We start from the raw sequence: 27,349 nt of genomic DNA, 5'->3' as shown, positions 1-27,349 counted from the left end.
AATTCAACTGTCCCCTCCCCACTTTTTTTCTGATTCCAAAGCAGATGTTCCTTCTGAAAATTTACTATGTGTGGGCTACTGGCAGAAAAGGCTGAAAGAATAGAGAATGTAAAGAGGAAAAAGGGAAGAGACAGTGATGTCTTTATGGGGACAAGAGCTTATGGGTAAGAGAGAGAACTGCAACATTAAGAGTTTGAGCATCAGTACAGAAAGGGTAAATTTAGAAACCAAACGAGGAATTAAATTAATATACCCCAAGCATGGGAAAATTATGTGGCCTCCTAACTGCTGTGACTGCTTTCTGCCTCTGGACATATTTCGTTTGTCTTGCAAAGTGTTTTGGTTTTATTTTTGGATTCTTCTTGTTCTCAAATTGAATTAGTGCCTACATTTACAGACTAGATTATACCCCAAAGTGCTCATTTTATTCCACTTTTGAAAAGTCTGAAAATGACAATACATGATTCTTATTCCTATATGGTCACAATTTTCAGTAGAGATCATAAATAATTACTCTTTTCAGACACACATTCATCACTTCACTCAGGGACTCACCCCAGCCTGCTTCAGTCATTTGTCTGCCTTGGTATCTAGGTGGATTTGAATTTTTTGAAATCTGAAGTAAGGAGCAAGCAATAATCTAATCTTAGATTGTAGGATGAGTCATTTGACATGTATTTACTGATCAGGCAGTAATCTAGGACATAAAATATAATATAGTGAAGAAACCAGAAAAAAATTCCTTCATGGTGATTGTGTTTTAATGTGCATGGCAGATAATTACCAATCAAATAAAATATATAGTGTGGTTGGGTGTAGTAGTTCATACCTGTAATCCTTGCACTTTGGGAGGTCAAGCTGGGAGGATTACTTGAGATCAGGAGTTCAAGACCAACCTGCACTACATAGTGAGACCCTGTATCTAAAAAAATACATGTTTTTAATTAGCCAGGCATGGGGGTGCATACCTGTGGTCCTAGCTTGGAAGGCTGAGGCAGGAGGATTGCTTGACCTCAGGAGTTTGAGGTTACAGTGAGCTATGAGCACACACTGAACTCCAGCCTGAGTGAAAGAGCAAGATCCTGTCTCTCTCTCTATGTGTGTGTGTATATATATACATATATATATATACACACACACACACACACACATATACATATACATATACAAACACACACACGTATACACACAGAAAGAAAAAATAGGGGAGGGACGGAGTGTGTGTGTTGGTGATAAATGCTTAAGAGAAAAAGCAGGAAAGGGGACAGGAAGTATCAGTGGCTTGCTATTTTAAATAGGATAGTTAGGAAAAGTCTTACTGTGGAAGTACCACTTGAGTCACTTTAAAATAAGTGGATGGGCCGGGCACGGTGGCCCACGCCTGTAATCCCAGCACTTTGGGAGGCCGAGGCGGGCGGATCACGAGGTCAGGAGATCGAGACGATCCTGGCTAACACGGTGAAACCCCGTCTCTACCAAAAATACAAAAAATTAGCCGGGCGAGGTGGCGGGCGCCTGTAGTCCCAGCTACTCGGGAGGCTGAGGCAGATGAATGGCGTGAACCCCGGGGGGCGGAGCCTGCAGTGAGCCGAGATCGTGCCACCGCACTCCAGCCTGGGCGGCAGCGAGACTCCGTCTCAAAAAAAAAAGAAAAAGAAAATGAGTGGATGATCCCTGTGGCTCTTTTAAGGAAAAGAGTTCTGAGCAGAGGGCAAAACCAAGGGCAGATGCCCTGAATGGATTTGCTAGTGTGTTCTAGGAACCTTGACGAGGCCAGTGTGGTGAGCATGGAATGAACCAGTGGGAGAAGTAACAAGGGTCCAGATTTGGAACGCCTTACAGGTGACTGCTACTACTTCAGCTTTCACTGACTGTGGTATGAACCATATATAACTGTAAATATTAGGCTGTAAAGAAAGTGAGTTTATGCCAAATCTACTCTAAGCTACACCATGAAGCTGGATATGATTTACCTTATATAACTATCCCCCACTTCTCTCAGATACAAGTAAGGGTAAACTGTGCTCTTTAAACAATCTGTATAGTTCACTGTGATCGATTGTTTGGAAGAAAGGATGCAGGTAGGTCCCAAAGATAACAGAATAGAAATGATCAGGTCTTAAAATGGGTGCTTGTTGAGTACAAATTCCTCTTTTGATTGTTGAGTGATGTTCTGGGTATCTATTCACTGCCTGTCAGCTCCATAGCCACCCTTCATTATCTGCTCCGCTGTAATGGAGTTAGACCCTCCAAGTGTTTCTCCTTTGTACATCTTAAAATTAAGCTTTGTCAGTAGAGGGCACTAAAGCAACATTGCAGAAGGAAAAGGGTTTCTTTTCCTGGTTCTGGTGTGATTTGGTTTTGCTTTTTGCTACTATTGCAAGAATGCCTGCATGGGAACATCCGGTGGCACTCTGCTTTAGCCACACACCCAGTGCATGCAGTCCGGGGCACCAGGTTCTTGCTGTGGCTGTCCCTGGTTTATAGATGGTCTCCTATGTACAGTTGGTCTCCTGCTGCTCTGCTGGTGAGCAAGCTCCAATGCTCTGACTCCATTTGTGTGTGCACCAACCAGCCCTCACCAGCCTGTACCCTGAGGGAAGTTTCCACTAGGCTAGACAAATGTGGATCAATTCTGGTCTGGACAATTCAGCAGACTTCTCCACTATCTACCGGGCTGCAGCCATACCTTCTCCAGTGATCTGAATCCTAGACTTGGGGAGGTCTCCCACTTACCCAAGTTGTTCCTTCTTAGGTACTCCGTTACCCCTGAGATATATAATGAGCCCTGATTTATATAATATATATGGGAGAGAGAGAATATGTGTATGCATACGTGTGTATCACTAATTAAGTGCTGGCACCCAGATACGTGCTGTATAATTGCTATGCTAATCACATAGGGTAGAGTAGACAAGGGGATTTTTACCTTTCAAATATCTTAGAGTTCAGTGGGAGAGAGAGAGAAAAAGAAAGAAACATATACACACACAATCACATCATGTGGTAAGACTTATGATGGAAGTGACAGAGTAAATGTAATAGGAAGGTCAAGTACATCTGATAGGGAGAGTTAGAGATGTTTTGAGTGTGAGAAAACGCTGCCTTTAAGGACCACCCAATCAAGAGTTGTTGTGTTGTTATCTTTGTATATAACACGAAATCTCAACACAAAAGATAATTTCTAAAGATGCTTAGTCTTGTTATAGACTGAAACACTTTGACTTACCCATTATTGTTCCAGAACTATAATTTACTGGGAATCACCTGGTAGTTGAATAATGAAGTCGACTTTTTAGATGCTTACTTAACACTCATGAAATTATGCACTGACCAGATTCTCCTAATTGTAGAAAAAAAAATAATTCACAAATTTGAAAGCTCATGTCAATTATTTAGTCATACTTTAATAAAATATTGGGGCAGGAAAAGCTCTCAATTTTATTTTATCACTAAGCCATATATATCCAGGGCACATATTTGCATATGGTTACAACGTGCTAGCACAGATTCGAAACATCATACATTTGTTTAACTACTGCTTCTTTTAAATAATTAGGACTTAAAAGAGTCTAGCAATTATAGTTTAAATTGCAAATGGAAAAACATAGAGGTTCTATTTATCTGAATCTGTATTGTCTTAAACATCAGTGCTGGTAGAATTACTTTGCATTTAGCAGTATTTTTCCTTATCATATAAATAATACATTAAGGTATAAAACTGCCCACCTGTGCTGTACATGGTTATTGTTCATTATGTTGTCCTTGGGAAGTCTGGTTCCTAAATATTTATTACTATGAACTCATCCAGTTGCTTTAATTCATAAGGAATATGTGGAAATCCTAATCTTGTTCTTTTGAAATGCAGTGAACCCTGGAATTAATGTGGTAGCTGAAGTAGGGGGAAGTTTAAACCACAATTCTTTTGCACAGGATCAATGGATCAGTTCCAGTGTAAACAAAGGTTGGTTTAGTCAAATTAGCCATCTGTCTCTGATGAATTTAAACAGTAATGTGACACATTTAGTACTGTAACAAGCTTTTGCTTATTTTTAAGTTTTTTTTTTTTTTTTTTTTTTTTTTTTTTTTTTTTTTTTAACAGAGAGAAGGTAACAGTGGATAATAGCAGCCCTGGGTTTCCTCTTTAGATTAACTCTTGAGCTGCATAGTAGCATCTTTCTTTCATGTACAACAGTTGGCAGAATTTTTTTTTATTATTATACTCTAAGTTTTAGGGTACATGTGCACAACGTGCAGGTTTGTTACATATGTATACATGTGCCATGTTGGTGTGCTGCACCCGTTAACTCGTCATTTACATTAGGTATATCTCCTAATGCTATCCCTCCCCCCTCCCCCCACCCGACAACAGGCCCTGGTGTGTGATGTTCCTCTTCCTGTGTCCATGTGTTCTCATTGTTCAATTCCCACCTATGAGTGAGAACATGCGGTGTTTGGTTTTTTTGTCCTTGCGATAGTTTGCTGAGAATGACAGTTGGCAGAATTTGTAACGGTTGCACGTTTGAAGGAACTTCCATTTCTAGATGCTACAGTTCTCAAATTTTTTCACAGTCACTTGACATCTGTTCAAAGTCTTTTTTTCTTCATGGATTAACCAGTTAAGTCTGCCATTCTTCCATAAAGTGGTCTATAAGCTTTAATTACATGCATGAATTTAGTGTCATATTTTACTTTTGAACAGACAGAAAGATGTCTACTTCTTTTGTTATGTGGCTAACTTTAAGGCAAGGTCATACATTTAGGGAAATTGGACCTCTGAAATCTCTTGATGGCAAGGCTATATGGAATATATATGCTTAGCTATTAAAACTATTGGTTATTTAACCCATTTCCTGTTTAGAAACAGTGCAGCCTGCTGCCAGTACTCATTTATCAGGGCAAAGGGGAAATGGTTTAAGTAAAATCCTTTTACTATTCATAGAAGTTAGTAGTAGTGCAATAGAGCGAGACTCCATCTCAAAGGAAAAAAAAAGTTAGTAGTAGTTCTGGATTGTCTTGCTGGATAATTTTCACTTCATTACAAACTCCCAATTATTTCTTACAACGGTATAAATATATTCTGGTACTTATTCTTCTCCATTGTTAAAACTGGTATGATGGTTGATTGGTGTGATTAACAAGTCAATAGAGGACTTGTAAACTCTTAACTCTTAAGTGACAAAATGCTTGGAAACTCCCATCTGCTGCAGCAATGTGAGACTCACAGTTACCTCCATACTTCAGAATAGACAGAACATAGGACAATTATTACTTATTCATTTCTTTGTGCTAATATTTACATCACCTTTGGACATACAATCCCCCAGATCACAGATGTGCTCTATAAATATACAACCACCATCTGGAGGAGAAATATACCTTTAAGTTTGTTTTTAATGATTCATTTGTACATATTTCATTTGGTAATTTGTATTTGCTTGACTGTGTCTTTGTGATAGATTGAATTTTCCACCCTAATTCTTCACCCTACCTTACATCCACACCCATTGTTTTGGGTCTTTGTAGTTTCTCCACCTAGAGGGAGGGTTCCATTTCTTGATTTGAGTTCAGCCATGTTACTTGGTTGGATCAATGAGATGTTAACAGATGTGGACACACTTAATGACTTTCAAGGTATGCCTGGGCTTGCCCTCCTGGGTTCTGCCATTGCCATGAGGGCTCAGTTAACCTCTTCCTCCAAGAAGTAAAAGAGACATGTGAAGCCCTCTTGGAAGGCAAGACTAGCTGACAGCAGCCTAGACCAGCCAATCCCCAGCCGACTGGCAGTCATGGGAGTGAGAATAAACAATTGTTGTTTTAAACCACTGAGTTTGTGGGTGGTTTGTTATGTATCACATTTGTGTCTAAAATTTTGATTGATTCAGTGGCTTTTATTATGAAGAACACTGCCTTTAGAACTATTGTACTGGAAGTTAAAGAAGATGAAAAATTTCAGTCTGCACCTATTTCATGTTTATTTGTGTCCTCCTTTTTGTTTGAATTTACTTATATCAAACATCACCACTTCTGAGTTCCATTATCTGCTTCTATTTTTAGCCTGTCACTTTATTATTGAAATGCACTCCTTCCCGACTCAGAGCCACTTCTTCCACGTCCTTTCTAACACAGAGCTGACTAAACCCTGGCCTGTAGTCTTGGAGAAAAATGGCAAACTCCTCACAATGACTGCCAGTTACCTCTCAAAGTCTTTCACAAAAGCAGCCCCTTTGCCTGACTGCTAATATAAGACATGACATTACTTCCATTCCATTTATACTGTTTGCATTTGACTTAATTTCCCAAAGTTAGGTGTTAACCTAAATAAACTAGTACCTAACTTACATCTGCATGCCCAAGAGAGGAAAACAAAATGGCTTCTTCCAGAACAATGAATTTGCCCTAAAAAGGACATCGTGTTTCTGCTCTTAGAACCATCAAAAGCAAGTAATTGTCCTGTTATATGAAAGAAATTGTGTAAGTGATATAAATGGAATGTACATAGCTGCTTTTTAATTTTTTTTTTTCATTTTGTTAGGAATTAAAATACAGACTGAATACCCAACACCTGGAAATCCTAACGTTGACAAATAGGTTCTGAAGAAACAGAAGTAAAAAACATGTTGACATATTAAAATAGAACTTTTCACAATTCAGTTTCTAATTTTGAGACACAATCTGGATTTTCCTAGGATTTAGCTGAGTGGCATTCAAAAACAGCTGCAACAGGAGCAGCAATATTGTGTTCCTTCAGCTGTGTCCAAACGGATCTGTGAGACATTTAGGTGCTTCAGTTTCTCTCCAGATAGTCTGGGAGTTACTGGGGAGGTTTTCCATTATATGTTTCACTGTAGTTCTAAAATTTGTCATGTGTTATCTGATATTGTCTACCTTTTCTGCTATTGGTGCCGCAATATACCAGACTTGGTTCAGAGTGCCAGGACAACCTGTGCTTTTGAAGCTACTGATATGGTTAGGCTCTGGGTCCCCACCCAAATCTCATCTCAAACTATAACCCCCACATGTGGAGGGGGGGACTTGGTGGGAGGTGATTGGAGCATGAGGGTGGTTTCTTCCATGCTATTCTTGTGATAATGAGCGAGTTCTCACGAGATCTGATGGTTTTGTAAGTGGCGGTTTCTCCTGGCTCTCTCTCACTTGCTGCTATGTAAGACATGCCTGCTTCCCCTTCCACCAGGATTTTAAGCTTTCTGAGGCCTCCTCAGCCATCCAGAACTGTGAGTCAATTAAACCTCTTTTCTTTATAAATTACCCAGTCTCGGGTAGTATCTTTATAGCAGTGTGAGAATGGACTAATACAGCTGCTATTTTTGTTGGCACCAAAGCTATTGAATCTAAAGCCAGCCCTTTTCATTGTTACTTGATCTTTTATTGAAGCTACCAGCTTCTCCCTCAATCACACCTCTACTCTGGGGTTTAAATATTATGAGTTCATGAAGACTGGGCTATAAATCAACCCGAGTAATAGATGTTTCCCCTATTTTAAAGCACTCTTACCTAACCAAAATTAGCTCACTGTCTTTGAACTTCTATTGAGCCCCATGTCTCACCCATTGGATACTTTTTTTCCCAGTAGTTTTCTAAGTTACATGAGGCTCCCTACACATATCCAGACCCATTTAATTACTATAGTGGAAAAGGTTTAGGCTGCTTAAACTAGGACCTCATGTAGATTATAAATATTTTATAGTGATGAATTTTACCTTTTAAGCTGCATTTATCATGATAAGGGAATGCCATATTTGTACTTTTTGCTTACTGTCTTTACTAATCAAATAACAATATAATAATTAATGCTATTTAACAAATAGATATTTGGGACCTACTGTGTACCATATCTTTTGCTAAACTCTGGAGCTAATAAAATGATAAGTCAGAAGTTACTTATTTTTTCTAAATAAGTGTCCAGTCTACTAAAGACACACATATCCATTAAAAATACACAGGAGTGATAGGAGGATACCGTGACACAGTCAGTGTAATGAGGTCACTATTCTTAAAATTCCAAATTAGGACACAGGCATGATAGCATATGCTGATTTCAAATTATATTCTAATATGTGGTGGTGTTTTGAGCCTTCTCCATATGTGTGTGGAGGCAGACAATACGTGTGGAAAGAGACATCATCTCCTATTTCTGTATCTTCCAAGCCTCTTAGTCCCAGATGAATTTATGTAAAATGTTTGATCCAATATGTGTCTTTCAGATTGGAATTTTACTTGTTGATCAATCAATAAATCCCAACATATATACTAAGAATCAGCTGGTGGGTCTTCCACAGTGCTGGATATTGTGGGAATGGAAGGGCAGACAAGAATAAGGAAGACTGGAATGTATGCAACATGATCTGTGCTCAGAGTTTGTAATCTAATTGGCGCATGTCTCAGACATATGTTGCTTTCTTTCCTGGTGTTTATTTCTCCTTCCTCCAGCACCCTGATATTCCTTTGAAGGATTCATCCTGCCACCATTCTAAGCTATGTGTAGTGGGAAGATTTGAGGACACCACTGACTCAATAGAACCATCTCTGGTCTCAGTGATTGACTTTAATGATGGATATGTGACCTAAATCAGGACAAGAAATAAATAATCCCAGGATTAAGTGGATGCTGTCAGAAAAGATGCTGACTTCAACGGAGCTGTAATATGGGGATTGGAGAACTAGGGCTGATGCAGCCATGTTGCTACCATAAGGGAAGGCATGATGTTTTGGAGGCCATAGGATGGAGCCTAAGATGCAGCCTATTCCAAGGAAGGAAGAACAGGAAAGCATAGCAAAATCAGATCACTGATAACATTGTTTGAGGCACTGGATAAAACCTAGAATTGAACCTAATCTGTACTACATCTGGATTTTAATTTGCTTGAGCTAATTATTCCCTTAAAAAATGACTTTGGATTAGTTCTACTGTTACTGGCAGCAATAAAAAGTTTTAACTGATACAAAGAAAAAAATATTCAGTGGTATGACTTGTGAAAAAGAGCTCAGTAGCAAGAAAATTAGAAGAAAGTAGTATCACTGAAAAGCACAGATTAATTCTAATGTGATAGTGCAAGGAGGTGAATATGATGTAGTGGAAATATACTAAACTTGATTTGCTCTATTGGTCCCTGGAATTACTGGACTGAAATAGAAGAGAGAGCAGGGCTAGAGGTATGGCCCTATGGGTAACTATTAAGATGACAGTTAAATTCATTAGAAATGAACTCACAAATAATAAACAGTAAAATGCAGTGGACTTAGTGAGAAAAATTTATTGTTAGGGCAAAATTGGTGGGTGAGAAGATAATGAAGGCAATAATAAAGAAGGAAAGACCAAGTCAGGACCTGTCAAGGTTATAAAAACCAAAGAAAGAGAAACATTTATAATGCCAATTAAAATGGATAGATCTAATGCATTTCTTTAATGCTAATGACTGCAATCGTAATTGACTTGGAAGATGAAAACTGGAAATTTTTCTCTGCCTTTAAAGGGCTTGGTAATTAATCATAAATATGTAGAGGCGAAGACTGCTGTTTGATGCAATTATAAGAGTCTGTAGCTCATCTCCCCTCACTTTGCACTGTTAGCCTCAAATTATGTGAAAGACTTAGCACCCTTATAAGGAGCTCCTGAGGTGGACTAGAGAATCTAGATGTGGTGGTTTCTGTTGAATAACCCTTATGGTGGTCAATTTTCTACAACATTTGCTTTGATCGTAGTAATATGTTTGTTGGTCTTTTCCTCATTAAATTATTTTCAGAATCTTTCTCCCTTGATTTTATAGACTTCTAAATATAAATGCACACAATTCTCTGAACCAAATAGAATACATGTTTTCAAATTTATATGGTTTTTACCTACATAGAAATAAGTGCTTCAAATAAGAAACCATTATTTCCTTAATTTCAAAGGGTAAATGCATTCAGTGTTGCAGTCAACATTTGACAAGTCTTTATCAACATGTCTTGGGTTTAAGGAAGAGTCTCCCCGACTAAGATGAAAGAATACTGCTTAGTTTAGTGCTATAGAATGACAACAGTGAACATGCTATGCTCCTAGAGATAAATTCATTTAATTCTCATAACAATTCTATGTGCAGATGTTATTATTATCCAAGGTTTACAAGCAAGGGATTGAAGTTCAGATAGGTTAAGTCACATATATAATAATAATACATTTTCTAATGGCTGCCTAAAATAGGTCAAATACTTCTTTTCCCTTTTAATATGAGTCGCTGCTAGTATTGTCTTTTGAAGGACCATAAAACACATACACATTTTATGTGATTGTGCGTCTTGTATCCTCATTTTGAGAGTGATCATATTTGAAGTCTTTCTAAAGGAGAAATACCAGATCCAAAGAATTATATCCTCTACTGGGAATGTAATGTTAATTAGGTGGTTTTTGTTTGTTTGTTTGTTTTGAGGTGGAGTCTCGCTCTGTCGCCCAGGCTGGAGTGCAGTGGCATGATCTTGGCTCACTGCAAGCTCTGCCTCCTGGGTTCACGCCATTCTCCTGCCTCAGCCTCCCGAGTAGCTGGGACTACAGGCGCCCACCACCACGCCTGGCTAACTTTTTGTATTTTTAGTAGAGACGGGGTTTCATCGTGTTAGCCAGGATGGTCTCAATCTCCTGACCTTGTGATCCGCCCACCTCGGCCTCCCAAAGTGCTGGGATTACAGGCATGAGCTCCTAGGTGTTTTTAAATCTTATACGGAAAATTAACTTTAGTCTAAAAACTTAAAGGTGTGCAGATTACATGAACTTAATTTACTTATAATTTAGGTAAGGTGAACACTAGAAAAAATATTTGTTTTATTTTACCTATCATTTTGATGTTGCTCATTCATGTTTCTAAGTAGCAAAAAATTCAAGTGAAAATGTGATTCGTCTAACTATTGTGGGATCTAGCCAGCAGCCTGCAATGCAACATGACTCTTTCTTTGTTCCCAGGCAGATTGGCAGGTCGAGAAGTAATAGACACACACAAGATAGGGGGTCCAGGGGGGTCACTGCCTTCTGGTCCTGCGATGCCGCCAATGCACTTGGTATACCGGCATTTATTATTAAGTTTAGTGAGGATGGGGGTAAGTTAATGAGGGATTTAGGATCGTTTGATTATGAGGTGAGAAGGTCACATGGGGATGAAGTAATTCTTTAGCATAACATCTGTATGCAGAAGTACAGTATACAGAGATAAGAATTTACAATATAGTGTGTATATCAGTAATTTCTAACAGAGCCTTAAAACAGAAACAGACTTTCCATAACCTATGATTAGCAAGATATTAATCAGCAGTAACAGTGGCAGGAAAAGCTGGTTACAAACAATCAGTAGAAACAGGACGTGAAGCTAGACAACTGGTTAGACCAGAAATTCTCCGAAGGGAGTATGCCTTAACCCTAAAGAGGCCTAGAAGAGCCGTGGCAAGATGAGGGCATTTATAGCCCTATCTTATCCATATGAACAGGCGCCCCTCATGCATCTGTTTATAGGCTCTCCACAAGGGTTGCATTCCATTCCCAGAGCTATGAACATCTGCTTTCCTGGGATAGGAATCTTGGTGATGTGAAACCTCCCTGACTACACGTCTGTTCATAGGCTCTCTGCAGGGGGAAGCACATCATGCACTGTTGGCTCATTCTGGCAGCCCAACCTGGCATTGTTTTTACACAATCCTGCATGCTATTTTGTATTTACAATAATCAGGAGGATTTCATCTTTTATTCCGTAGCAGTAGTTTCAGGGGGTCTCCCTACAGTCTAACCACTATGGCAAACAGGAATGGTGAAAAATGCTTGGAACTGTATAAATGTCATATTCATACATATCCTACAACTTCTAAAAAGTCTTCAGGAAAGTTTCTAACTGTGACATGCATAACGGCATTTAGCCAAACATGTAACTTACCCCTACCCATCAAAACAACTGCTTCTCCAGGTATAGTTCTAGCTGACCATTCTCAGTATGTTTCATGAAATAAAATAATTCAGCAATTTAAGTCAAGGGTTCAGAATGCTGGAGTAGAGTTCTTTGTTAATGATCACTAAGAATGTTTAAAAAAAATTAGAAAGAGAGATTTTTAATTTTACCTTTACAAGAATACATGTTTTTCTTTATTATTATTTAATTAAATCTTCTCTATTATAATAAAATAACTAAAAGTATATAATTGGATTGTTTGTAACACAAAAGATAAATACCTGAGGGGGGGGATACTTCATTTACTCTGATGTGATTATTATGCATTGCATGCCTATATCAAAGTATCTCATGTACTCCCATAAATATATATACCTGCTATGTACTCACAAAATTAAAAATAAATTTAAAAAGTGATAATTGCTCATGATAGAATTTCTAAGAAAGGATAGAGTTGATATCTGTCTATGATTTATAGAAGTTTTTCTGTGATGGTTATCTGAAAATAAACTCGCTAAAGTTATGCACCAATGAGCTTTATTGCAGATGTAGTTTATAAAAAAGTTTGTAAAAAAAAAATTAGCCAGGTGTGGTGGCGGGCATCTGTAGTCCCAGCTACTCAGGAGGCTGAGACAGGAGAATGGTGTGAACCCGGGGGGCGGAGCTTGTAGTGAGCCCAGATCGTGCCACTGCACTCCAGCCTGGGAGACAGGGAGACTCCATCTCAAAAAAAAAAAAAAGTTTAAAGTTTGTAAAATCTCCCTTGACACTATAGGAGGTAATGATCTATGTCCCTTTCCTAGAAAGTTTTCTGAAATTATTTTTTGGAATATATATAGTTTGTACCTGAGAGTAGATATTTAGATTATTTTCTTGGTGTAGTAGATAGATTGTTTTACAAGATAAAATATATTGATGATCTTATTCATGAGTTTCAAAATCAGATGCAAAAAGAGAGAATTTATTTAAGGCTATGTAAAGTTAGAAGAGAATTATTTGATTTGATCAATTTGGTCTAAAAAAACTAATGCACCCCAAAGCAAATAAATATTAATCTAATCAATACTTTCCGTTATATAGATCATTTAAAAACTGGTTAAATGTAGCTTTTAAAACATTTGTTTTACTTAATGTTGTTGCCATAATATGTCTATACTTTTTGTGGATTATTATTTTCTAGTCTTATTTGCAAATCTACTGGAAATCTATTCTCAGGCAATGACAGAAGAGACCATGATCTCCTTCTTTTATTGGAAGGTGGAAAGTTGCCACAAGTTTCAACAGCCACTGACCAAAGAACTTCCATATTTTGGATTCTTATCAATATGTATGATGACTGTTTGATGAGATAATATATCATGAGCTGTAAACAACTAGAAGATAAGCTCTCAGAGGGCAGAACAGAGTTTGTTTTGTACTGCTTTATTCTGCATGCTAACATCATGCTCTGCCTACGATAAGCACTGATTAAATTTGATTGAATGAGAGCATGGTGGGTCAGAGGTGTGACTGTTAGCAGTGCCGTGTTTAGGTACAGGAGAAAGGCTTCTAGAGGACTTAGGCACTGAGAAGAACAGGCCTGACCTGGCCTCAGTTCTTGTGAAAAGGATGTGGTGGTTTTATTTGGCCTTAAGTTTCATGTGTGCTTGCTCTGAAATGTGGATACAAAAAAGGTCAAGGGTAATCGTATTACATATTATAACATCTAAAGAAGGAGTCTTATTTTGTTAGCTTCATGCTCTTGCCAGCATTTTCTGTTTTTGCCTTCTGTTTACTCCTTGCCCTTAGTGTGTAAACATGCTCAAGTTTCTCCAGCATTAAAACTAAAGAACTTATTTGGCTTTTACCCACTCCTTTTATCTCTTTCCTCTCTCTCATGTCCAAATTATTAAGGAGGATAATTGGTAGTGGATGTCTTCAATTTCTCCTTTCTCATTTCCGCTTAACCTCTCTGCAGTCTGGCATTGCCACCACTGCTGTGCTCAAAATAGTTCCATTGAAGCCTCCAAGGCTGATATTATGAGGGTCAAATGCAGAGGGTATTTCTAAGAAATTCTTGCTGCATTTGAGGCTTCTCCTCATATCCACTTCTTGAAACTCTGTTCTCTTGCTCCAGACTTCAGAGTTTCCTCTTTTCTAACTACCCAACCTCACGCCACATCACTCCTGCTGTATACTTTAGCTTTCCCCAAGGTTCTGCCCTCAGTTTTTGGCTCACTTGTTTTCTCATGTACACATGCTTCACAGATTATCCTTTCCACTGCAAGTATTTTTAACACAACCTCTATAATAACTGTCTTTTCCTTTCTTTCCTACCTCCTGCCCTTCCTTTTTCTACTCCTTCCATCCTCCTTTCTTTTGTTCCTTCCAAGAATCCATCTATAAAATTCTTGACAGATACACAACAAAACAATGGCTGTTTCCTAGTGGGAACCAAGAGATTGTGTCTAGTTTCTTTTTATAGTTTTATTTATTTTCTGATTTATTTTACAATGAATGTGAATTAGCTTTAAAGTCAGAAGTAAAAAACAAAATTATTTCCAACTAGAAACAAACAGAAATAGTGATTATTCTCAAGAATAAATACCCTGTTTGACTCTCCCGTAATCATCTCACACACTTGACCTTACCCTCTGTGTGAATTAAGTGAAGGGCAGGAACCATGTCTTAATCACCTTTGTAGGTTGTTCAGTATGGTGCTTGGGACTTAGTAAATACTCAGTGAGCATGCTGATACTGTGATAAGCTCACTGCACTCTCTACAATTAAAATGACATACCAAAATCTTGGGAGACGTGGGTGAAAACTCAAAGCAGATGGGGCTTGGAACAACATTCTGGAGAGGAGAGTGCACCATGGTGATCTCAACAATTGTTCTACTTTTTTCTTACCAAAATCTGTCTATTTTCAGCAAAGAGAAGAGAGCCTGAGGAGGAAGTATAAAGTCAGACGCTTACAACAGACTTGCTGGGTTGGAGAGAGAGACTGTCACAGCCAGGGCTGCCAAGTAAATCAGGACTTGAGGGTGAAGAAGAAATCTCAGAGAACTAAACCAGAAATAATATGCAGTAGGTGATTTCCTCTGAAGGCATTTGCCAATTCTTACACTACACAAGTGTAGGGTGAAACTCCTTGAAATCAAGCAGAAACCTGTTCCCGGGAGACCAAATAGCTGAGCAAAGATATCACCGTCCAGTCGTCCTGGGGAGAGAGAAGTTAGAGTTTAGTGCCTAGGAAAGTGGAGTGGTCCTTTTAAATACCACTAGCTTACAGTTTTGATCCCAAAAGTACTATGATCCAAGAATAAGAGCAAACTGGAAGAAAACACCATCCCTAACAAATCCCAAAACTCACACTTAACTGAAGATATCAGTACCTTACCTGCCTTCTAGAATAAAATAAAATTCTATTTGGAGAAAAATCAGACCAACCAGAGCTTTTGTGCAATATCTTGTGTACTATTTATAATATTCATTTAAAATTACCTGGCATGCTGATAAACAGGTTCAGATGACCACAAATGAAAAAAACATATTTAATAGATTATTTAGATTTTGGAGTTATCAGGAACGCCTAAGTATGATTAATATTTTCAAGAAATAGAGAAAAAGATGGAGAATTTTCTTAAAGAACTGGAATCTGAAAAATGCAGTGATTGAAAATTAAAAATTCAATATATGGATTCATAACAGATTTGGCAAGTCAAAGGAGAGGGTTAGTGAACTGAAAGATCAGTGCCTAGAAATATCCAGATTAAAGCTCAAAGAAGGAAATGCCTAGAAAATGAAGAAGAATATTTAAAAACTGGTGACATGTGCCTACATATATATAATTTAGAGTTCTAGAAAGTGAAGAGCAAGAGAATGGGACAGAATCAATAAAAAATTTAAACTGAAGATTAAGCCACAAATCCAAAGTCTGTACACTCCAGGAGGGTAAATATAATGGAAAAAAAACACATCTGGACACACCATAATAAAACTGCTGCAAAAAAAGAGAGAGAGAAAAAAAAAAAACTTAAAATCAATTAAGCTTTTTTTTTATTATTTTATTTTATTTTTTGAGACGGTGTCTCACTGTCGTCCAGGGTGAAATGCAGTGGTGCAGTCTCGGTTCACCGCAACCTCTGCCTTCCGGGTTCAAGTGATTATCCTGTCTTAGCCACCTGAGTAGCTGGGGCCACAGCTGTGTGCCACCACGCCCGGATAATTTTTGTATTTTTAGTAGAGGCAGGATTTTACCATGTTGACCAGGCTAGTCTCAAACTCCTGACCTCAGGTGATCTGCCTGCCTTGGCCTCCCAGAGTGCTGGGATTCCAGGCTGAACCACTGTGCCTGGCCAGCCAGGCTCTTTTAATTTTGTTCATTTTGAGTTCCACATTTATAGAAAGTGACTGAAAAAGTAGAGAATATCCAGTGGCAAGTGTCCAGAGATCATAAAAGACCAAGAGACTGGACCTGGAAACCAGAAAACCATAAAAAAGTGAGAGATGTGGGAACGTTAAACCAGAAACGAGTAAGTGAGACAATTACCGTAGTCTTAAAAAATTTCGAGTGTTGTCAGGATGAAAAGGCAATTTTCTTGTTCTGTGTTATCCAGAGGACAGAGTTAGGATGCAAGCTGCAAGGAAGCAATTTGTGACTCAACATAGGCAAGTTTAACAAATGAAGCTGAATGAAAATGGAACAGTGAACTTCCAATCATTGAGATTTTTAAACTGGGATTTAGAGGACAAAGCTTCACAAATGTAGAAGGTATTCTTAAATTGAATGTGAGTTTAATGAGCACTCCTGTAAGACTCCTTGTAACTTGAAGGTTAAATAATTCTGTAATGTGCATTCTAGTGACTGATGGTTGTATTTTCATGACCACAACTCGCTTAAGAAATCATTCATTTAGTCATTAACTTAGCAAGTGTTACTGAAGACCCACCTCATGGAAGGCCCCCTCACAGGCATTGGAGCTACCAAGAGGCATAAGACACAGTCCCTGACATTATTTTGATTGTGCACATGAGAAAGCCTATTCTGGAGAGTTTATAACTTATTCAGGTCACTATAATGTAACTTAGTACGAGAGAAGACAGGACATATATTATTAAAATGGAGCTGAATAGTGTAAAAGATAATTCATCGCCACTAAATGGGTATTTTATTCCTTTTTACAGAGGAGATTACGTGCTGTTTGTCATATATTGAACAAAACTGCTATAAATATAACCCTTTTCAGGACACTCAGATGATCTTAGCATACTGTAGCTTAATTCTCTAGAAGCCATACTTGGAGCCTCAATGTTCTTATCTTAAATTATCTTTCATTTCTTCAATGATCTCTACTTTCTGTTTCAGTTGTCAGTGTAATGATTCCAGTTTTCTGGCGTGAAGTGATCAAATAAGTCTTTATGTAATGGTAGAAGAAAGATGTTATTAATAGTAATTTTTAAATGTATTTTCTGTGCCATTAAAGTAAAATCCTCTGCACTTATTTCCTGCCCCAAACATTTTCTCCTACTCAGTCTAATAGGTTTAACACTCCTTGATCCCATTATTTTAATAATCTAGGCTGAAGGGTTGGCTTACGTTGTAGTTTGAAATAAGGATACAAATCTTCAAAAATATGCTTTTCATACTAAAGTCTATTTTAAAAACTATCATCTAGTAGAAAAGATGCTTTACATTTAAAAGCACCTTTAAACTGGAGGAGGAAATAAAAGAAATACCACATACCTCAGTTGTGTTCTATCTGTCCTTGATTTTGCCCTCAAGCATTACTGGAAAGTATTGTCAGTTCCACTGCCTGAAGATGGTTTTTGGAGGAAAATAAATGTTTCAACTGTGACGCTGTGTTCCCATTTGATACACCTTTCAACTTGCAAGCTGCTGAAGGAAGAAATAGGGACATTTCGTTTCAGTGACAAACTAAGGCAAAAGCAGCTTCTAATATGATGGATAGCAAAATAAAAACAGATATCTCTGTTGTGATCGTGTGCTGAAGGCTTAATGAACTCACCCCTAGTCTAGCTATAGGCTCACATATAGGCAGGCAGACAGGCCTGGAGTCACCTGGAGACTGAGCCCACCTGGGGATTAGAGCAAAGTGCAGGTGCCTTTGCTTCATCTGTTTCCCTGAATGGTCCTTACCTGTTGTCATCCCTCACAGTTTCATTTGAATTTATATCGAGACAACCTGAAGATTCCATGGATCGATTACAGATGTTAACCTCTAAGTATTCTGAATTCCAGTCTCTTTGTCATCACTTTTTCCACTTCAGATAGATTTTGCTAAAAGCATACTAACACATAGAACTAAGGGCATTCTCCAAATCACTTTAAAATTATAAAAAATTAAAATTAAAATAATAGATAATAATTCAGGGTCAATATCAATTAAATTGTATTTAACCTCTACTTTTTGTGTTGAACTTCTAATGTATATCCAGAACTATTTTGGTGATTCTAATTAACGTAGGTTTTACCATAATAACTTTGTGTACTTACCGGGTGTTTTGTCATGTGAAACCTGAATAAGCGAGAAATATGGACTTGATTATATTTTCATTATTTTTCTTTCGTCCTTTTTGGCCTTTGCTTATTTGGCATGCCTAGGTAGGGAGCACAGGCTGTTTCCTATTTCAAGAGCATGTTGTTAATGTTTGATAACTATATAAATGTACACAACAATACTGATGAGCCAAAGAAATTAAGCTTTGCAAAGGGCAGCTTTAATTTGTTGATCTGGAGCTTGGAAATGTGGGTTATTTTGTGATTGAATAACGTTCTTGAATGTTTAATGTATGGCCCCATTTACCTTGATTAGCTCAGCAATTCGTGACACATTATTTCCAAAGATGCTAATCAATTTTAAATCAAAATAGATTGAATTGCCTCTAAAATTGTGGAGATTACCCGAAAGTGTCAATCTTTTTGGGAAATTGAAATTCTGGCATCTTAATGAATGCAGCCTAGTTATGGAAGTACTGTATGAGAATAATGGGTTTTCGAAATACTATAAAGTAGGGATAAACTTCTGAATGTAATAGTTACTTTTAAATTAATTTAGCACTAGAATTATTTTATCTATTACATTTGAAGGAAATACCTCTGCTATTATTGCTGATTCTATTCCTTGTATAACTGTTAAAATTTGAAACTTAGAAATATCACCCTCACTAGTTATTATCTACCTCATTCACTTCTTCTGGATTGTTCTAACTTTACAGTTTCAGACATTCTCTGTGGTCAGATGGTAGCAAAACTACTCAGAACTGCATGTATAAAATTATTTAAAGCAGAAAGAGAAGGCAGTTTCTTTAGAGAACACTTCCAACTGAACATAGCATTTCTACTGATATTTAATTGTGTGTGTGTGTGTATATATACACATATATACATATATATACATATATACACACATACACAAATATATACATATATATACCCACACATATAAATATATTCTAGATATTTAATTAAAACACAACATTATGTTGTTTTGATTAATCTATTTCACATGTTAACTTGCATTTCTATTGCAAGAGAAAAATCATTGGCATACCTGTATAAAGAAAGTGAAATGCAAAGTTTTCTAACCATTGGTTTATATTAGTTAATGTGTTTAATTTTAGTTCAGTGGAGTATTTAAAATAAGGAGAAATAGAAAAGGAAAATGTTTTCCTTTTAGAGTCATTCAGGGGCTTAATATATTAAGAACTAGAAGGACAGTTTTTTGTTTCGTTTTGTTTTGTCTGAAAAGTAAGTATAAACATGCCTATGGGCTGGGTGCGGTGGTTCACGTTTGTAATCCCAGCACTTTGGGAGACTGAGGTGGGCGGATCACCTGAGGTCAGGAGTTCGAAACCAGCCTGGCCAACATGGTGAAACCTCGTCTCTACTAAAAATACAAAAATTAGCCAGGTGTGGTGGTGGGCACCTGTTATCCCAGCTACTCGGGAGGCTGAGGTAGGAGAATCACTTGAACCCAGGAGAAAGAGGTTGTGGTGAGCTGAGACCGTGCCATTGCACTCCAGCCTGGGTGACAGAGTAAGACTCCATCTCAAAAATAAAAATAAAAAACAAACATGCGTATGGAGATAAAAATCACAATTTTTAATAACATAAAGATATTTTGAAGAGTGGTCATAGCATTTTGGAATTTGTATGATCCCATCTCATATTGAGCTCCTACCATTACTACCTTTGGTGCTTTGGACAAATTATTAAACTCTTTGAGCCTCAATTTTTTCATTCATAAAATGAGCCTAATTACTACTGCTCTGTAGAATTTTCTGTTTATTTGTTTGTTTGTTTTTTGGAGAGGGCAATGGCAAGGTCAGGATTTAATAAGATATATGTAAATAACTTAGCAGTGCATCACTGCACCTGGTAAATGTTCTTGTTAAAACTGCTCTTAATGCATGAATGATGAGTCAGGGAACTTTGCAAGGTACCCTGAGAAAGACTGAAAGAAGTACATGTGATATCATCTAAAAACTGATCCCCCACATCCAGATTCTAGTTTCTTATTCAATAATTGAATATAAAAAATTACAGTCATTGAACCAATGACTAAGATGCTCTGGAAGGAGGAAGCAAGTCTTCCCTTAAAAAGACTGGGGTCAGGGAATGTGGGAAATCAATTTTAATTTCTGTGTATGTGTGTGCCTTCAAAGTGGAAGTTATTTTCACTAATTATTTTATCCATGACAGGTTTTGCTATCCTTGGATTTAAATCAATGACAAAATATCAATGTCTTCAATAAGCATTAGAAAAGAAATAAAATTCTCGTGTAAGTTGAAATTCATCCTGTACTGATATTGTTTGACAAATTATTGTTCCTTAATTCTGAATGACACCATTCCTGTACTTTGAGGAAGGTCAATATTAGTTTAAATCTGAATTTATCTTTAACTCAAGTGAAGTTTATTCAAGTTTTTCATGTAATGAATCTAATAGATTGGAATCATATTTCAAGGAGTGGTCACTGGTTCCTTCAGTGTTCTAAAGTGTACATTCATTTCCAACACGTCAAGTGCTTAATTTAAAACACTTATTGATTCTTGATTTTTGCTTGGACGTGAGCTCATTTATTTTAATGGAATTGTTAATAAAATGTCAGCTTTCTCCTGTTCTGTGTTCTGTATCTGTTTTCTGACTACACTTACTTGTGATGTGTCATAGAAAAAAATGACTAATATAATTTCTCAGGCCTTGAAAAGTACTTACACTTTAATGTCCATATTATAGATTTTTACGTTAGGAAGTTCACATGGGTTCATAATATGCAGTTTTACTTATCATTGACATCAGCCTCTTCTGGGAAATTAATCTCATGAGTTGCTTGTAGTGGGATAATAGCAGCAACTGTGCTTTTGGATGATCATTTTCAGTGTTTTATGATTTTAGGCAGCATTTTTGTTGCAGGTATCCATTGCATTTAGCTTGATTTCTCAAAGTGTATATTTGTTGAGTCAGAAGGATAGAGTGACTTTTCAAAAGAGAGGAAAACATCATTAAAGAGAGAATAGTACATTGTGAATGCAAATCCTTAGAGAGCTCATAGTGGCTCCTGAGAATAAGTGAAGTAGGTGATTTGATGATGTGATGCTTCCTAGGGAATATGGCTCAGAGGTCTGCACTTCATAATATCTGAGATCTGGAATTAGTCTATCTGTTAAGCCAGGTGTATAGACATGGCATTTGCCAAATAAGAAATGACTTTAAAAATATGAGGTTGTTCCAAAATAGTTCCCCTTGTTCTCAAGCAGTGGCTCTACTGATTTATTATCTGGCTTCATGGAGAGGAGAGAGTTTATTATCAAGAAACATAATGACCTTCTAGCTCAGTGCACTTTATTTACCTGAAGTAATACTGAGATGGGGGAAAATGTCTTTGGACTCTTGGTTTATCTCTTAATTCCAAAAAAGAGGAGAAAATAGTCCTTACTCATTTGGATATCATTATCTCACAAATTATAGCTTATTAAGGTAAGAATGCCCATATATGGTGTAAACTCATAATTTTTTTTCCAAATGAAAAGATGACTCCAGAAGATTAAAACAATGTGACTTGGAAAGTAATTAGGGAGGGTAAAGAGGGATAAAATTTTTCCACTTCCCTCTGACAAAATAATCAAATAAAAACTTGGGAGAATTTAACCTTTGCCGTTTTTATACTTGCGTTTACTCATCATTTTTAAAAGAAAACCATCAACTATTTCCATTAAGCATTACATGTAAATTCAAACTCTCTAAGATAGAGTAACAATGTAATTGACCACATGAGTTGTATTTTTGAGTCATATGCTGTATACAAAATTGCAATTTAAAATAATTGCATGGAGGGGAAAACAAAACAGGTGACTTAAGACATGTGGACCTTCCATCCTATGAAGAGAACTGTGGAGAAACAAATAACAATCAGCTGCTTAAATTAGAATGTAGGTATGCATGAAATATAAAATAGATTAAGAACTAAAAACAAAATAAAAATATTTTAATTGGTAGTGTTTTTTATTTGTTTGTTTGTTTTGTTTTGTTTTTGAGACTGAGTCTTGCTCTATCGCCCAAGCTGGAGTAAAATGGTGTGATCTCGGCTCACTGCAACCTCCGCCTCCCGGGTCTAAGTGATTCTCCCTGCCTCAGCCTCCCAAGTAGCTGGGATTACAGGCACCCACCACCACTCCTGGCCAATTTTTGTATTTTTAGTAGAGACGGGGTTTCACCATGTTTGCCAGTTTGATCTCGAACTCCTGACCTCAGTTGATCTGCCCGCCTCAGCTTCCCAAAATGCTGGGATTACAGGTATGAGCCACTGTGCCCAGCCTATAACTTGATTTTTTAACAACCAAGGGCATATGGCCTCCAAAAGAGGCAAAAGTTGGAAAATGAAAACAGTAAAAATTATGATAGCCTAGCACTTAGCTAATTATCTATGTCTCCTGAATGTGTGTTTGACAGCTTCTAGTGTCACCAGACTTTATATAAAGCAGACTGATACTATAGATGGCTTATGGCTCCTAAGTAGCTTTATTGTCAGATTCCTGTAAGAGGCTTAAACATGTTAGTCATCCAACTTTCTTTTTAAAATGTTTCCCTATAAAGATATCTAATGTTATAGAATATTAGATAAGAAGAAAAAGCATAAAAGTAGACATAAAATAACAAAATGTTTTTTGGCAAATGCTTTTTGCATATTGTTGCAAATTATGAGCATATTCTTATCTATTTTGTGTGTGATGTGATATGTAGATCAATAATAAAAAGCTTAATGTTTTGTTTTATTCTAAGCAATTAATTAGTATCTTATAACAGTTTATACCAAGTTTTATATATTTATCAACACACATATGCATATATAACATTAACGTGTGTTTTTTTAGAAATTATTTATCTCTATATAGATATTTTTAAAATTGCATTATTGTTCTCTTCTTATTAAAAAGAAATTTAGCACATTTGTTCTCCTGCAGTATCTGTGAAGCCTGGTGAACTCACTACCACCCGCCCATCCTCCACCCTCACAAATTTAGCAAGTTTTTCTGGTTACAGTATTCTGCTTCTAGAAATCTAGAGTACCATCAGTCAGTTGCTGTGAAAGAATTATTTCTTTGCCTACCTTAGTAATATACATATACATGCCCAGTTAGCACACCCATACCTCTTCACTCTTTACTGCTCCAGTCACCTACAATATAAAAATCTCTTTATTTCTATTACATAACCACCCCCATGACCACACACGATAAAGCATATACATTTTTCTCTCCTCATCATGGGCACTCATCACTTTAATTTTTTACACTATTGATATTTTTAAAAGAAAGAAGAATTACAAAGTGAGGAAATTTAAGACACACAACATTTAAGACACACTTTTTCTTTATATTAAAATTTTCAGCTTTCTAGTTGAAAAAACAGTTTCATAAATAGGAACAAATGAACTCATGTAAATTAGGTTATTAAACATTTTTTGTCAGTTTCATGTATTTAAGTATAAGCTATTCTTCATGATGTTTGAGTAATGTCAGTTCACTCTAGCCTTATGCACAAATATGTGGGTAACTGAAGGACAGAGGTGTCTATGAGCTGCCCAAGTTCATTGAGTTGATTGCATGGGAGAATCTAAGAGTACATTGCCTCTATCTTTCTGGAATAGACTAATTTTATACTGAGTCATTTAACATCATATTTTGCATTTAATATAAATTTACATATATGTGATTTTTTTTCAAATCTCATCTGTGATTTGCATATTGCTTTTTTAAAATGAAGATTAAAAATAGTATTTTTGGAAGTTATAACTTACTTTCTAAATATTTTGCTGTAAATATCCTTTGTTTTCTTCTGCCATTTTGTACTTTTGCTATGAGTGTTCACATGATGGCATGCTAATATCTCTGCATTAACTTTTACTGAAGGATATATTTTAACATCATAATTTTCCTTCGGAGCTCTGGGGTGTTTTAAGCTTGACTTCTCTTGATTTTAGTCATCAAAAGACTCCCACATTGAGAGTTAAACTATAAAAGTCAGCTGAAAGCATTTTTTGCAGGCATGATATTTTCCTTGCACTAATTTAAAAAATTCAATCTAAGATTCATTTTATCTGACTGGTATTTTCAGTCTAAAAGGAGGATAAATAATCATATGTGAAAACATTTATTGACATATATAAACTATTTGTTAATAATACAACTATGCTGAGTCTCAATCTGTGATTCCTTCCAATTGTTTCTTCTGTTTCTCTAATGAATGTATCTATAGTGCATGGGGCAATTTTTTTATTATCAATAAAGTGTCCACTTTTTTTGTTCTTATGGATAACAGTATATTTTCTAATCATTTTCTAGCTTACCCTTGAATTAGAAGTCTTTCAGTTACATGTGGTAGAAAACTTAACCAAAATGGGCTTTAAAAATTAAAAGATCATAATTCTGCCTGCGTATCTGCAAAATAAGATTTTTCTAACTTGATGTACATCTTGATCTAAAGGTTCCTGATGTCATCTTTGAAGTTTGGCTTTGCTTATCTGCAGTGCTTCAGCTATGCCCGACCCTATGAACAGGGACAATGTCCAGGTCAGCTTCCCACATGGCAGCTGAAGTTCAGAGGAAGATTAGCATTTCTTCTGGTACTTCCCCTTAAAAAGATGGTGAGATTACTCTACTGCAAAACCCAACAAATATCTTCTTATGGCTTATTGGCTTCATCTGAGATACTCATCCCTGAATCAAACTCTGTACTCAAGAATATATTCAAGTCTATTAATCAGTAGTAATTTAGTACCTGGTTTAAACATGTGTCCCTTTGAATCTAAGGCTCCACACGCTAAGAATAAGTTCAAAGGAATTTGGCAGAGGAATATCTGGGGGCTACTGGTGAAAGAAATGGGGATTACATGCTGAGAAGGTGACAATAAATGTCTGCTACAGGTCATTTGTAAAAGACCATTTTACAACACTCCTTATGAAAAATGATCACTGGTTTGTTTTTAATTTCCTGTAAACTCATGGTTTTACTTGGTAAAATTTAATGCACAGGAAGGATATGGTTCCAGGATATGTGCTATAAAGGACTGATGAATATGCAAACAGGGGACATAAGCATCACCTGCAAGTCAGGTCTTATTTCCAGAAAACTATGCATAAATGGACTTTGTGCCTAAGAAAATGTACTAAGTCTTTGAACTGGGGCTAATGATTGAACTATGGTTATTTTCCACTGGCTTTAGAAATAAAGAGTCTCATTCTCTTTGATATAATTTCCTGACAGTGGAATGCAGGCAGTCTTTAACTTAATAACTGATTATGATTCAAAAATGTATTTGGTGTTTCAGAATTTGAAATAAACATGTAGATATTGGTTCTGTACTATTTGCAGATGAGAAAACTGAGGTGCAGAAAACTCAGTGAATTTGACCAGGGCCACACAGCCAGTAAGTGACAGAAATGGTATTTATACCTGTACAGTCTGTGTTCTTAATTGCTGCATATACTGTCCTTCAAAGTTGGGCCTTTTTTTATTCCTAAAAATATATTGTGGTACCTGATAACTTATGTTTCTAGACTTGCCCACCGTGGCTTATTTATCTTTTTGTACTGCTGAGCATATTATTCTGAGAGTTAAAACTAACCCCCTTAGTTTTAACTAGGGTGTTAGATTAGATTCACCTCTCATCTCTGTCTTAAGTACTTGTTGATATTTGGCACCCAGCCACTGGATAGTCATTGATTCTATTTTCAGTGTGTGAAGATTCCGGAAGAATCAGGAAGCAATGCCCCATTGATCTCTATACAAAGATAGCAGACATTCTGCTCACTGACTGCAGTGATGTCAACATGCGACACAAGCTTGGCCTATCAGATGTGAACTTTACATCTTGATATGTGCAGGGTATTCACAGGTTATTCACAGTAGTGGTAACCAAATGGAGAGTCCAGCAGCATTACTGAAAATTACTGTGATGTTGCCAGGGGAAGCATCTTAAATATTCATTGCTGTGGCATCATCTTTATAATCAACTAGCCAGCCCCTCATCCAGGCGTAATTCTCTAGTCTGCTGTGCAAGTCTAGGAGTCACTCTAAATGCTGAAATAAATTCCTTTTCTGCAAAAGCTCTTTACCATTACTTTCTAACTATGACTGGCAGAGCCACTTTTCTACTCTGTTCTTCAACTAATTTGTTTATTCAGTAAAGTTTATAAGAAAATACAAAGTGAGCATAGGAACAAAGGTAGAACTTTGTGTATATGAAGAGACAAAACATAGTTAATCTATATTTTAGAGATAACTAGGCTTAAATTACACAGAGCTTCTTATCACAGGAGATGGGACAGGGCCACTGGTCCCCTGCTGGCATAAGAATATCTAGAGAGGTGGGAAAGAAGAAAGAACTTAGCATTGTCATGATGTGACCCCCTTGTAATCAGATGTTTTGGCTGACAAGCAGTATCTAAGAGTATCAAAGAAATAAATGAGTTGTCTTTTGCTAATCATTGGAGAGGAGGGATAAAATAAGGGGAGGGATAGGAAGCACCCTTAGTTGGGACTATTATTCCTATGTGATCTTTCAAGTATAAAGGACAATTTACTTTATATGTGTATAAAATAAGACCCCGTCTGTATAAAATGGACTGCAAGGCATGAGATATAATGGAAGTATACTGATGGTAGAATTACTGGGTATCATTCTAGTCCCAGGGCTGGTGTCAATAGGTTTGTGATTTATGGAAAAACATCTCAAGAGTTTCCTGTGTTCTTGTTTGTAAAACAAAGATTAGAGACATCTAAATACCCCTCCTTCTCCAATTATTACTACAGAAAACTCAAAGGGCAGAATTCCAGGAGTTAATTTTAGTCTAGAGTGGCTTTCTGATCTAATTTTACTTGCTTCTTAAGTCCAACTAGGAGCTCACAAATGAAA

The 27,349-nt window shown here is 36.8% G+C and overlaps 1 protein-coding gene across 4 annotated transcripts in view, besides 1 other annotated feature; it reads left to right on the top strand.

The window, feature by feature from the left end:
- MDGA2 (MAM domain containing glycosylphosphatidylinositol anchor 2) overlaps positions 1 to 27,349 on the top strand; it is an 835,983-nt gene that overhangs the window by 133,934 nt on the left and 674,700 nt on the right. The gene's annotated exons all lie outside the window — the stretch shown is intronic.
- Positions 4,867 to 5,434: an enhancer, noted in NCBI's record as "NANOG hESC enhancer chr14:48005441-48006008 (GRCh37/hg19 assembly coordinates)". NCBI's record gives its function as "activates a minimal SCP1, AML or CMV promoter by ChIP-STARR-seq in primed H9 embryonic stem cells {active_cell/tissue: H9 hESC(primed)}" and the evidence as "EXISTENCE:reporter gene assay evidence [ECO:0000049][PMID:30033119]".

The sequence above is a fragment of the Homo sapiens genome, chromosome 14 (assembly GCF_000001405.40).
Source record: "Homo sapiens chromosome 14, GRCh38.p14 Primary Assembly".
Classification (NCBI taxonomy): Eukaryota; Metazoa; Chordata; class Mammalia; order Primates; family Hominidae; genus Homo; species Homo sapiens.
Note: the sequence above shows the minus strand (reverse complement) of the source record. Positions and strands in the feature narration are given on the sequence as shown.